A 13,536-nucleotide genomic window follows, 5' to 3' on the forward strand; every position below is an offset into this window, starting at 1 on the left:
GAAGTTGAGGAGAGAGGCCTGGGCTGGAGACAAACACTGGGCAGCCGGCCTGGGCCACGTAGCAAGACCCTCTACAAAAAATAAAAAAAATTAATGAGCTGGGCGTGGTGGTGCACACCTGTGGTCCCAGCTACTCAGAAGGCTGAGGTGGGAGGATCACCTGAGCCCAGGAGGTCCAGGCTGCAGTGCGCCGTGATGGCACCACTGCACTCCAGCCTGGGCAACACAGCAAGACCCCGTCCCAAAAAAACAAAACAAAACAAAAAAGTCAAACCAGTCATGAGCACACCAGCGGCAGCTGGAACTAAGAGGATGCCCACCCCCCTTCCCATGCAGAGGAGCTCATGAAGAAAACAGAGGAGTATGGTACTAGGAAAGTTCCAAGAGTGTGGCTCCATGAAACACAAGGCGGAGAAGATATTGAGGAGAAAATGGGGCCTGTAAGAGAAGAACCAGAAATATCACGTCATCTCAGGGAGCGTCTCCAGGGACCGGAAGGGGACTGGGGCCCAAGCCTGCCTGGCTGCAGATCTGGTATCTGCAGCCACAGTGATGCTGCATAACAAAACCGTCCTAAAACTCAGCGGGTAAAACAACCAACAGCTCTCCATCACTTCTCACAAGTCCACGGCTGGCTGGGTGGTGCTGCTGACCAAGCCAGGCTGGCAGGTGGGCTGGTCGGGATCCCTAGGCCCTCAGCCTCGGTCTCATGTTCCCCAGTGAGTTCCCACGGGAGTGTCTGGGATCCACCGCAGCAGGTTTTTCAGCCTTTGCTTGAGCCATGTTTGTTGATGTCCTCTGGACCAAAGTCAAAGAGGGAGGGGACAAAGTGACAGGGAAAGGATGGAGCCATGGGAAAGCCACCAAGAGGCCACAGATGCACCTGTTCCACCTTCCAAGAAGGCTGGGGGAACAGAGAGAGGAGGGCACCAGCCACGGGGTGCCCAGCAGCATGTTTACATTAGAGAGGCTGGGCGCGTTTCTGGGCTGAGCGTGAGAGCGGGCAGAGGGGAGGCTGGGGCTGGAGGAAGGAGGAGGGATGGGGTGGCTGGGGAGGGGGCTGAAGCTGTGGCCTCAGGGCATCCCGCTTGCTTCTGACAGGAAACATCTGAACCCCCCATCCTGGCATCAAACCTTCCCAGTCTCCCTGTTTCCTCCTGGCCACGGGCTTTACAGCGGGGGGACAGTGCCATCACAAGGACCCTGCAAGGGTCCACAGAGGCCACGCTAGCAAAGACTCAAGCCAAAGCTGACCTGAGTCCTGGAGGAACGCCTGTGCCCTCCCGTGGAAGGATAGGAGGTTCGTGGTACTCTGAGACCACTCCAGCCCCCACCCCGCTTCACCCACGAGGCTGTCAATTGATGGGTTCTCATTGTCTCCCCTCCTCTCATGGGTTTGAGGCTGTTTCCTATAACAAATTGCCACAAACTGGGGCTGGGGGGTGGTGCTTAAAACAATAGAAATGTATTTTCGCCCAGTTCTGAAGGCCGGAAGTCTGAAATCCAGGTGTTCATGGGCCACGCTCCCTCTGGAGCCACAGGGGAGGGTCCTTCCTGCCTCCTCCAGCTCCTGGGGACTCCGGGGTTCCTTGGCCTGTGGCCACATGGCTGTAGCCTCTGCCTCCATCTTCATGCAGCCTCTCCTCTTCCCATGGCTGTCCTTTGTGTGCCTCCCATGAGGACACTTGTCATTGGATTTGGGGCCACCCTAATCTAGGATGATCTTACCTGGAGATCCTGAACTTAATTACATCTGCAAAAACCCTTCTCCCCAAATGAGTTCCCACTACAGTTCCAGGGTTGGGACACAGATGTGTGTTTATCAGGGCCACCAACCAGCCACCAGAGAGGCTTCGGGCCCAACCCCCGGGTACAGCGGGAGCCCAGCAGGGGCTCCTTAGTGGCAGGTAGTTCCCACCCTGCTGGAGTCATCGGCCTCTGCCGTTCTGATGCTGTCCTTTTTGGACAAGGGCTTATGCTCCTCCTCCCTCATTGTCTGTGTCAGAAGTGGCTTCTTGTGTCTCGTGCAGCCAAAGCACTCAGGCTGGCCTGGCCTGGCCTGGCCCCTCACCCTGCATCCTGAGCCTCAGTGAAGCCCCTCCCTCCCTCACCCCTGGGTTGCTCCCGGCCATACCAGCACTCCTGCTTCTCTCCCTACCTCGAAGCCTGTGCCAACCTAGCCCATTCCTCAGGCTCAGGGCCTCCTCCTCCAGGAAGCCCGCCCTGGCTGCACCTCCTCTGGGACACTACTCGGCACACCAAGTGTGTCAGCAAGGAGCCTGGAAGTTGCTGGAAGCCACCTCCCTGTTGGTGGCAGCTCTGCCCCAGGCTGAGGTCAGCTGGCAGTACCTCCCCCCAGCCCCTGAACGTAGGAGAGGAACAGCAATGCCAGAGAGGTCTGGGGGGAGTCCCTCTCCAGTGGCCAGGCTGTCCTGAGGCCTCCCAGGCCCCACTCTCTGGGACTCCCTGGGGTGAGGGGCCAGCATGAAGGGAAGATCCCAGAGTCAAATGGCCCAGTCTGGCATCCACACTGTCTCTTCCCAGTCAAGAGGCCTGGGCAGGTTCTTTTCTTTCTGTCTTTTTTTTTTTTTTTTTTTGACAGAGTTTTGCTCTGTCACCAAGGCTGGAGTGCAGTGGCGCGATCTCAGCTCATTACAAACTCTGCCTCCTGGGTTCAAGTGATTCTCACGTCTAGGCCTCCTGAGTAGCTACGATGACAGGCGCTGCCCCCACACCCTACTAGTTTTTGTATTTTTAGCAGAGACGGGTTTTCGCCATGTTGGCCAGGTTGGTCTCGAACTCCTGACCTCAGGTGATCCGCCCGCCTTGGCCTCCCAAAGTGCTGGGATTACAGGCATGAGCCACTGTGCCTGGCCGGTTCTTTTCTTTCTGACCCTCCGTTTATCTTTCTAGGAGGGTTAGGCTTTGGTGTGGACATGGAGACACGACCCAGAGCCCCCTCTGAAAGAGGACCTGCTGCCCCCATCCCTCAGCCTCAGCCTCAGCCTCAGCCTCAGCCTCGGAGGCCACCTTTGAGGTCACACCCCTCCCTGCATGGCAGAGCTGAGTGGGGTGGCAAGACCCAGCCATTTCAGAGGGTCTCCCGGCAGGGAGCCCTCCCCTGAGCCCCCCGCCACCTGCCCCCTGCCCCCCGGCTGGCCAAGGCCTGCATGAAGGTTCAGCTTCTCCCTCTGCCCGACGCTGCCTCCCTGGGCTGATCCAGCAGGTGTGGTCCCCAGTGCACCCCAAACTCCATCTCAGCTTCTGCTTCCAGGGAACCCACCAGGCGGGCCCCCCTTGGTGCATTGGTCCATTGTGTGTTTAGTGCCTACTGTGCACTGGGTGCTGCTTTAGGCCCGGGGGTGCAGCAGGAAGAAGATAGACAAGGCTTCCGGTCTGCTGGAGAATGAGCCCCGTGCTCCTAGGGTGGGGGAGGGGCCGCTTCGGGGGCCTCTTCGTTGCAGCAACAGACCCCAGCTCTGACCAGTTCAGGCAGAAAAGGAATTCACGGAGGGGTTTCTGGGGCGCTCTCAGAACCTCCTGTGGCCAGGAGGACCAGGCTGGGCCCCAAGACCATGCTGCAGAGGGGCCTCCAGGAGAGCCCACCACCACAGCCACGCCAGGCACCCTACCCCAGCCCCAACCACAGCCACACCGGGCACCCTACCCCAGCCCCAACCACAGCCACGCCGGGCACCCTACCCCAGTCCCAACCACAGCCACGCCGGGCACCCTACCCCAGTCCCAACCACAGCCACGCCGGGCACCCTACCCCAGTCCCAACCACAGCCACGCCGGGCACCCTACCCCAGCCCCAACCACAGCTACAGGAGCAGGCTCCGCGGCGGTGGCGTCAGCCCTCGGAACTCCCTGCAGCTCTCAGGAAGGGGCAGGCCAGGTGCGTTGTCCTGGAGCTGCCTGCCAGTTCCCCCTGCCTCGTTTGGTCTGGGCGTAGCTGCCCAAGGCCCTGCAGGGAATCAGCGAAGGCCCAGGTGACAGATTCCCTGCATCTGCAGGGGCAGAGCCAGTCCTGGCCCGAGGCCTGGAGTGAGGCCACCCCAGCCTGCCCTGGCTCTTGCCATGGCCCTGAGAGTTCCCTGGAGGAGCCCCAGCTGCCCTGGGTGGTGGCAGCTAAGGACAAGGCCATCCTGCCCACGGTCTCCCCGACCCCTGCCTCGACTTAGCTCCCTGGGCAGATGTGGCCAGAGCCCCCAGCCCCCGTATGGTGTCAGCGCCTGGCTGGGCAGGCCAAGCAGGGTCTCCTGGCAAAGGGGGCTCCAAGTGTGACTGAGGTGGGGTGTGCCGCTCTCATCCACTGCACCCCCAGGTGGCCTGGACCCAACCCGAAACTCAACAAGCAGCAGCCTGGCCGTGGTGCCTCAAGCCAGCCACTAGAGGGTGCAGTTGAGCTGTCAGCCTGCCTGGAGGGGCGAGGTGGTGGGGGTGAGTGTGCAGGCGTGTGTGTGTGTGTGTGTGTGTGTGCGCGCGCGCGCGCGCCTGTGTGTGGGCGTGTTGTGTGCATGTGTGCATATGTGTGCACTGTGTATATGTGCCATGTGTATGCGTGCATGTGTCCGTGTGTGTATATGTGTGCGTGTGCATGTGTGCCATGTATGCATATGTGTGCATGTTCATGTGTGCGGGGGGGTGTGCACCTGTGTGTGGGCGTGTTGTGTGCATGTGTGCACTGTGCATATGTGCTGTGTGTGTGCATGCATATGTCTGCATGCATGTGTGTGTGCCATGTATGCATATGTGTGCATGTTTATGTGGGGGGGTGTGCATGTTGCTGTGCATGTATATATGGGTGCATGTGTGCCTGTGTGTGTGAATGACTCAGGGCCTCGGGGCCTGAGATTGCTGCTTCTGATCCACAAACCCTGCAGGGGGCCATGCGAGAGCCTGGGCTGGGAGCAGGAGCTGGCCTACAGGGGTGGGGGATGCCTGGAGCTCTAAGGACCCTGATAGCTCAGGCCAGCACCTCCAGAGAGGGGCACTGGAAATGGGCCGTAAAGGATGACTAAGAGTTCTCTAGGCAGCAGGAGGGAGGAGGTTGGAGGGCGGCACCGAGGCATTCTGACTCCCAGGCCCCTATGGGTGTGCTGGGAAACCCAGCTTGAAAAGCACAGCTCTGGTTCAACCCCCTGCAGCAGGAGACGCTCAGGTGCAGAGAGAGGAGTGGATGAGCATCTAGTCACTGGTCCTGCTCACTGAAAAAGCAGCATCAGGCCCCACACAGTCAGTCCCTGGGGACTCCAGGGTTCTCGGAACATGGTCCCCCACCCTGCCCACAAGGCCTCCCTCCGTTACTCTCCAGCAGCCCCGGAAAGGGACAGCCGCTGTAGGAGGGTCCTGGGGCTGCTGGAACAAGGCCCTGCAAACCAGGGTTCTTAAAACAATAGAAACGCATCCTCCCCTGTCTGGAGGCCAAAAACCCTAAGCCAAGGCCCTGGCTGGCTTGGCTGCTTTCAAGGCTCCGAAGGGGGGGTCTGTCCCAGCTTTCATGGCACTCCCTGGCCTGTGGTTGCATCACTCCAATCCCTGCCTCTGTCCTACGTGGCCTCTTCTCTGTGTCCTCTTCTCTTCTTATACAGATACCAGTCGTTGAATTCAGGGTCCACTCTAAATCCAGGATGATCTCATCTTGAGATTCTTAACTAATGATATTTGCAAAGAGTCTGCTTCCAAATAAAGCCACATTTGGAGGCTACAGGTAGACATGAGTTTTGGGGTCCCCTACTCAACTCACTGCACCCACGAAGAGGTTATAGGCATTCGCTAGGACAGGGCATGTCCTCGTCACCCTGCCCGGCCTCAACAGTCCCACCCTGTCCTTGCCCAGGGCAGGCCAAACCCATCTTCACCACACAAGTCTCCCATGAGCTTTGGCCTCAGCCTCTCAGCCAAGGTCTCAGGCCTCGTGACCTCAGAGGGGGGTCAGTTCCAAGTGTCCCGGCATGCAGAATGGGAATGGGATCGGGGGCCAGGGGGCAGGAAGGTGGCTACACCCCCACCCTCCAGGAGCCAAGGCATTGGGAGCTTGTGAAATGTGAGTGATCCCAAGGTTAATTAATTATTACATTAAAAATGCGCCCGTTAAGGGGCCCCGCAAACAGGAAAGTATTAATCACCCATTTCCTCAGACTGACAAGTGCATTTCCCTAAATTCCTTGGCTGCTGACTTAACCAAATGATAATCTCCCTGCTGCTGCCATTTCCCATGAAGTCACAGCTCATGAATATTCTAGCATCACAATTTGCTCTTTAAAAGGACGGACTTATTATTTCATTTTTAAGTTTGCTGTCATGAATAGTAATTTTCCAGCCCCTAAATAATGAAATGGCGGTGACCACTCTGGCCAGCCGGGACCCAGGAACTCAATGACACAACGGGGCTAGTCCCTGCCATGTGGGGGACGGGGGATGCCAGGTCGCCCTGCACCAGTTCCCAACTGCAGTCAGCCCATGGAAATAGCAGTTAATGGGTGGCCCTCCGCTTGGCACTTAACGGTTTATAAGCTGGTCCCCCTCCAGTTCCTATGTCTTTGCAGCCACTCTGTTCATTGGGCCACAGCAGTTTTGCCATAGGTAACTGAGGTTGGGAAGCACAGCCATGGAGTCAGACAGATGCCAAGTTCAAATCCTGACACTGCTGTTTGCCTGCTGTGTGATCTTGGGCAATCACTTAACTTCTCTGGGCCTTGATGTCCTCATCTGTACAATGGCATTGCAAACCAGGATTGGACCCCACACTCACCCAGTGCCAGGGCTGGTGTTTCTTCACCCTCTCTGCTGCCTCAGATCTAGAGAGACCAAGGACCAGGCCCCACTGGCCTGAAGTTTAGATCTTCTATTTTGATGGAACAGAAATGATGGCACCAAGGGCTGGACTGAGGAACAGCCACTACAGCTTCCCTGGGAGCAGCTTCCCAGGGTGGTTTCTATTACTTAATGCAATTCCAGGCTCTCCCAAGTGCCCAGGAAGCCGTGGCAGCTCACTGCACACATGTTTAAGTGGAAAATCCGATTTCACAACTCCTTTCCATAATTGTTCATGTGAGTAGGAGCTCCTCTTGATGCCCCCTTTCCAGAGATGGGTGGTGGCAAGTGGGAAGGGCCCTCCTCATGCCGTCCCTCCTCTGGGACTTGGCACCATCACCATGGCTGGCCTCCTTGTGCCCCGGCTGTTGCCAGAGGGAGCTTCCCTCCTGAAACCCCAAAGGGTCCCACCATGTCAGCCTCTCAGGATGGGAGCACCACCCCAGCTGGCCCCCAAGAAGACCGGCTCCGGGCCGCTCTGGGCTTCCATGCTTTTTGCACCCACAAAGCTTCTCCCCAGGCATCTACAGCCCAGCCCCTTCAGCCTGGCCCTCTCCCCTTCCCCCATCACCTGGCAGGAAGCCCCCACCAGGCTGGAGTTAGGACCCCCATGTCGTGGTCCCCCACATGCAGGTCCTCTGGGATCAGCGCATTGAGCACCCCAGATCCCCTTGTCTACCTCTGCCCTTTCTTGCCCTTGACAGAACAAGTCCAGGTCTTACCATTTCCCACACTGCGCTTGCCTGGGTGCAGGTAACAGCTCTGTCTGCATTTGCGCTGGATTTCTCTGAGTGAGTGAATGAATGAATGAACTCCTATCGGAGGGGCCAGCGATGCAAATTTCCCCTGAAAATGATAAACTGTTTATGGAGGGTGAGCCACTCACAGATGGCTCTGTGAATTATATTTTAATTTGCATGGCCTCCATCACAACTCACTTTTCAGAGCAATGGTAAGAAATGTGACTTCGATGGTAGGGACCCACAGGGCGACTCCCAGCAACCAGGGTATTGTCATGCAGGTCCCGGGGTTGGAGTAAACCTCCAGCATGCAATTAGTTGACAGCACTGTGTGAAAGTAAAGCATCGGCAACCCTTGGGTGAACGCTGTTGACTCAGGACCAGGGTTTTACTGTAACCAGATGTCTTTACCATCCCCGGGAATCATGTCACAGCGTCTGAGCGGGCCTACTTTCCGGAAGTCTGCGTGCTCTGGGCTGAAATGGCATTCGTGGAACTTGCAGTAATTTGTCACAGGGGCCTGGGGTGGAGGATGCTGGGGGGCAGGGCTGTCTCACACGAGTGATGTTTGGCGTCCTAGTTCCCGGGCACTAAACGCCAATAGGGCAACTCCTTGCCTCCCTGTGACAAGAACAACAACAGACTCTCCTGGAGGGGAGGGGATGACATCACCCCAGCTGAGAATTTGGTACCAGGGGGTTGCAGGCCAGGGGCACTCAAGAAAAGAAAAGAAACCGGAGCTTCTGTCCTCCCTGTGCTGGCTTCGCCTGGGCCCTTCCTGCTCTGGCTAGGCTGGGAAACCCTGGGCCCCAGAAAGCCCTCGTGGGGTGGGGTTAAGGGGCCCAGAGAGGGCAGGAGCTTTCTCAAGGCCATGGGGGTGGGCAGTGCAGAGAAGGGTGGGACCTGGGCCTCCGAAGCCCCTTCTGGGGCACTGTTGCCTGCTGGGACCTTTCACTGCATCCCTCCCTCTCTTCTGGGCCGGGGCACCCCTCAAGTGCACAGCCTCCACGAGGAACATCCGCCTGGCCAGGGGAGTGCTACGAGCATCAGGCCAGAGGGGCGGGGTTCTGGGAAGTCTCCCCAAGCACCTTCCCTGCTTCAGCCAGAGGAAAAGAGCAGGCAGGGAGCCCACAGAGGCTGCTAGGACCTCCTGCTCCTGCACCCAGGTCCAGAGGCACCGCCCAGGCAATCCAGGTGTGGTGGTGTCCCTCTCCAAGGTGCTGAAACGCCCCTATGCACCCAGGTCTAGAGGCACCGCCCAGGCAATCCAGGTGTGGCGGTGTCCCTCTCCAAGGTGCTGAAACGCCCCTAGCCTGGCCACGCTCCAGGCTGGAGTCCTTTCAGCCACAGGCCGCTATGAATTCCTGTCTCACCAACACTCCCCGGACACGCCAGGGCCCTTCACCAACACTCCTCACCATCCACATCTTTTTATTTAAAAATTCTAGTAAAATACGCATAACATAAAATTTACCATTTTAACCAGTTTTTAAGTGTGTAGTTCATTTATTTATTTACCTACTTTTTTTTTTTTTTTTAGATGGAGTCTCACTCTGTAGCCCAGGCTGGAGTGCAGTGGTGGGATCTCGGCTCACTGCAACCTCCGCCTCCTGGGTTCAAGCGAAATTCTGTCCCCATTAACACTGACTCTCCATTCCTCCCAGCCCCTGGCACCCACCTTTCTACTTTCTGTCTGTATGCAATTGATTACTCTAGGGACCTTATATAAGTGGAAGCATATAGTGTTTGTTCTTTTGCAGCTGGTTCATGTCACTTAGCACAATGTCCTCAAGGTTCATCATCCACATTGTAGCCTGTGTCAGAATTTCCTTCTTTTTTTTTTTTTTTTTTTTTTTGTTGGTGGAGTCTCACTTTGTCGCCCAGGCTGGAGTGCAGTGGCACGATCTCGGCTCACTGTAACTTCCGCCTCCCGGGTTCAAGTGATTCTCCTGCCTAGGCCTTCTGAGTAGCTGGGATTACAGGCGTGCGCCACCATGCCTAGCTAATTTTTGTATTTTCAGTAGAGACGGGGTTTCACCATGTTAGCCAGGCTGGTCTCAAACTCCTGACCTCGTGATCCACCTGCCTCAGCCTCCCAAAGTGCTGGGATTACAGGCATGAGCCACGCGCCCAGCCAATGTCCTTCCCTTTTAAGGCTGAGTAATATTCCATTGTATGAGTGGACCACACTGGTTTATCCATTTATTTATTGATGGACACCTGGGTTGCTTCCATCTCTTGGCTATTGTGGCTGCTGCTATGAACATAAGTGTGCAAATATTTCTTCGTGTCCCTGATTTCAGTTCTTTTGGGTGTAGACCCAGCAGTGGAGCTGCTGGACCGTACGGTAATTCTATCTTGAATTTTGTTGTTGTTGTTGTTACTTTCTGGTTTGGGTCGTGCACCGTCTTAACTGGTGCGTCATCACCTTCTTTTCTGACTGTGTTTTGCTTTGCTTCGCTTTGGGTTTTTGCAGAGGGAGCTGCTACAGGCAGGCAAGATGGTGGTGGAGAGCACAGTTTTGGAGCCAAATAGAGCTGGACCCAAAGCGTTGCCTCACCGCTCAGCCACACGTGACCTGAGACCGTCCTCAGAGGGAAGGAGGAAATGCATGTGGGGTGTGGAGCAGAGTGCAGAAGGAAACACAGGGCAGCTGTTTTCATCATCCTCGTGGCAGGCAGGACTTTGTGTTGAAGGGAGGACTTTAACACGGAGGGCTGTGCACACAGGTGACTGTCCCACCTGGCTCACTCAGGGGAGGCAGTGGCTGCTGCCTGCAGAGGCTCCTCTTTTTCTCACCCACTTGTCAGCTAAGCCGCAGGAGGCCCACCGTCTGCGGTGATGACCTAATGCTTCCAGTTCTGTGATAATGGCCTCTGAAGATGCACAAAATAGCTGATGTTTGGGCACCCCCGATGCAGGAAGCATTCGGCACCATTTCTGGGAACACGAGACATTTAAGTGACTTCCTTGCTGAATATTTCATGATTTACATTAATGGCTTTCTGGTGTTTTTCATAACAAAACTGTCCACATGATGATGGGTTAAAGTGTGGTTATTCCACCCACTCTCGCTGTAAAACACCATTCCCCAGCGCCAGTCCCTGCAGTCCCCCTGCTGGCCTTGTCTCCCTGAGGGCCCCCCTCCTCCTCAACGAGGCTCCCTTCCTCTGGGACAGGTGTTACCCATGCATCCAGCAGGCACCTGCATGCAGTAGCGGCTCCGACATGGGGATGGAGGCATTTGTGACAGCTCCGTGCCACAAGGGAGGGCCAAGGCCAGGGACCTGCCACACCAGCCGGCCTGCAAAGTGGCCTGGGGTCTGGGGCTGGAGGGACCCTCCCAAGCCCTGGTCCAGATGTCCCAGTTTTTGAAGCGCATGACTTGCACATATCATGACCTTGATGGGTTTGTTTGTGTTTGTTTGTTTGCTTGTTGGTTTGTTTGCGTTTGTTTGTTTGCTTGTTTGTTTGCTTTTTGAGACGGAGTCTCACTCTGTCGCCAGGCTGGAGTGCAATGGCGCCATCTAGCTCACTGCAAACTCTGCCTCCCAGGTTAAAGCAATTCTCCTGCCTCGGCCTCCCAAGTAGCTGGGATTATAGGCGCACGTCACCATGCCTGGCTAATTTTTGTATTTTTAGTAGAGACAAGGTTTCGTCATGTTGGCCATGATGGTCTCGAACTCCTGACCTCAGGTGATCTGCCCTCCCGTCCTTTGCTTCCCAAAGTGCTGGGATTACAGGCGTGAGCCTGGCCTAATGTTTGTATTTTTAGTAGAGACTCGGTTTCACCATGTTGGCCAGGCTGGTCTCAAACTCCTGACCTCAGGTGATCCGCCCACTTTGGCCTCCCAAAGTGCTGGGATTACAGGTGTGAGCCACCGCACCCGGCCAACCGTGACGATTTTGAGAATTGCTGCTCGGGTGTTTGTCGGGCGTCCATCAGTTGGGCTCCGTCTTTGGTGTTCCTCATGGTTGGACTGGGTGATGGGTTTGGACTGGGTGATGGATGTGTCATGGAGGTGACACACCCTTCCACCACACCGCATCGGGGGACACCGCCAGCACGGCCTTCACTACCAGTGTTGACCTCGGTCACCTGGCCGAGGAGGGTTTGCTGGTATTTGCTCTGTCATCAGTGACCCCCTGCCCCGCAATACTGTCGTCTCTGGAAGATGCCACTAAGAACAGGCCACACTTCAGGGGTGGGGACTCAGGTCCATCTCCTTCGGGGGTATCTACATACGTTATTTGGAATTCTGCATGAGAGACGCATCCATTATCTCCCACTACTTGCTTATTTAATCTTTAATTTACAGCAGAACGGACGCATGTGTCCTTGTTACACGGTGGGTTGTGACCTGGGGTTATGCTATTTTGTCACTCAAGTTGTCCCAGCATTGGCCACTGGGAGCTCTTTCAGGTTGGCTCCCGGGTCCCGTTGACATATCCCCATCTGTTTTTCCCTCCAAGAAATTTTTAAATACACATTTCTAAAATTTTTAATTGTGGTGAAGAGCACATAACATGAAATTTACCATTTTTTTTTGAGGTGCAGTCTCACTCTGTTGCTCATGCTGGAGTGCAGTGGTGTGATCTCAGCTCACCGCAACCTCCACCTCCCGGGTTCAAGCGATTCTCCTGCCTCAGCCTCCTGAGTAGCTGGGATTACAGGCGCCTGCCACCATGCCCAGCTAATTTTTGTATTCTTAGTAGAGATGGGGTTTCACCAGGTTGGCCAAGCTGGTCTCGAACTCCTGACCTCAGGTGATCTGCCCGCCTCGGCCTCCTGAGTAGCTGGGATTACAGGCGCCTGCCACCATGCCCAGCTAATTTTTGTATTCTTAGTAGAGATGGGGTTTCACCAGGTTGGCCAAGCTGGTCTCGAACTCCTGACCTCAGGTGATCTGCCCGCCTCGGCCTCCCAAAGCGCTGGGTTTACAGGCTTGAGCCACCACACTCAGCCCATCTTCACCATTCTCAGGCACACACTTCAGCGGCATTAAGCACACTCACACTGCTGTGCGAGCATCCCCATCGTCCATCTCCAGAACTTCCCATCTTGCAAAACGAAAACTCTGTCCCCATTAAACACTAACTCCCTGTTCCCACTTCCTGGCCCCTGGCACCCGGCATTCTACTTTCTGTCGCTAGGGGCTTGATGACCCTAGGGACCTCAAATACAGTATTTGTCCTCTTGACAGGCTCCTTTCCCTTAGCGTAATGTCTTCCAGGTTCATCCATGGACCTCGGAGTATTGTGTAGGCTGGAGTGTGTGCCAGAATTTCCTACCTTTTTAAAGCTGAATGCCCCCCACGAATTCTTAAATAGCGTGATAATAAGAAATATCTATTCCATCTTTGTCCAGGATTCCTGGCACAGACTCCTAAAACCCTTGGAATCCCTGAGTGACAAGCTTGCCTTTGGGATGCCGATGAGATGGCTGGTGGCTGGGAGCCCCTAGACAGCTTCAGGGTGGGGGTGGTATCCTGAAGGACCAACCACTGGTTAGAGAGTTGGAATCTTCAACCCTACCCCCTGACCCTGGGGAGGGGGAAGGGGCTTGAGGTTGAGTCAGTGCCTAGTGGTTGATGGTTTGGTCAGTCATGCCTATTTAATAGAACCCCCATAAAGGCCCCTAAATGATGGGGTCCAGGGAGCTTCCGAACTGATGAGCACATCCGGGTGCTAGGAACGCGTGCCCAGGGAGGACCCGGAGGCCCTGGCCACCCCACACCTCACCCTGGACATCTCTTCCATCTGGCTGTTCTGGAGCTGATCCTCTGTAATAAACTGGTAGCAGTAAGTAAACTGTTTCCTGAGTTTTGTGAGTCATTCTAGCAAATGAGGAGGAGGTTGTGGGAACCCTCGATTTATAGCCGGTCGGTCAGAAGCAGCGGTGGCCCCAACGGGGGACTGGCAGCTGAGGTGGGGGCAGTCCTGTGGGACTGAGCCTGCCTTTGGGGTCTGCGCAAAC

General features: G+C 55.8%; 3 annotated features.

Moving 5' to 3' along the window:
* Nucleotides 5,125-5,758: an enhancer, noted in NCBI's record as "H3K4me1 hESC enhancer chr9:138860297-138860930 (GRCh37/hg19 assembly coordinates)". NCBI's record gives its function as "activates a minimal SCP1, AML or CMV promoter by ChIP-STARR-seq in naive H9 embryonic stem cells {active_cell/tissue: H9 hESC(naive)}" and the evidence as "EXISTENCE:reporter gene assay evidence [ECO:0000049][PMID:30033119]".
* Nucleotides 8,721-8,906: a silencer, noted in NCBI's record as "fragment chr9:138863893-138864078 (GRCh37/hg19 assembly coordinates)". NCBI's record gives its function as "represses an EF-1alpha promoter that drives an FKBP-Casp9 reporter gene in an ReSE screen in HepG2 liver carcinoma cells {active_cell/tissue: HepG2}" and the evidence as "EXISTENCE:reporter gene assay evidence [ECO:0000049][PMID:32094911]".
* Nucleotides 10,526-11,308: an enhancer, noted in NCBI's record as "H3K4me1 hESC enhancer chr9:138865698-138866480 (GRCh37/hg19 assembly coordinates)". NCBI's record gives its function as "activates a minimal SCP1, AML or CMV promoter by ChIP-STARR-seq in naive and primed H9 embryonic stem cells {active_cell/tissue: H9 hESC(naive and primed)}" and the evidence as "EXISTENCE:reporter gene assay evidence [ECO:0000049][PMID:30033119]".

This window comes from Homo sapiens, chromosome 9, assembly GCF_000001405.40.
Source record: "Homo sapiens chromosome 9, GRCh38.p14 Primary Assembly".
In the NCBI taxonomy this organism is placed as follows: Eukaryota; Metazoa; Chordata; class Mammalia; order Primates; family Hominidae; genus Homo; species Homo sapiens.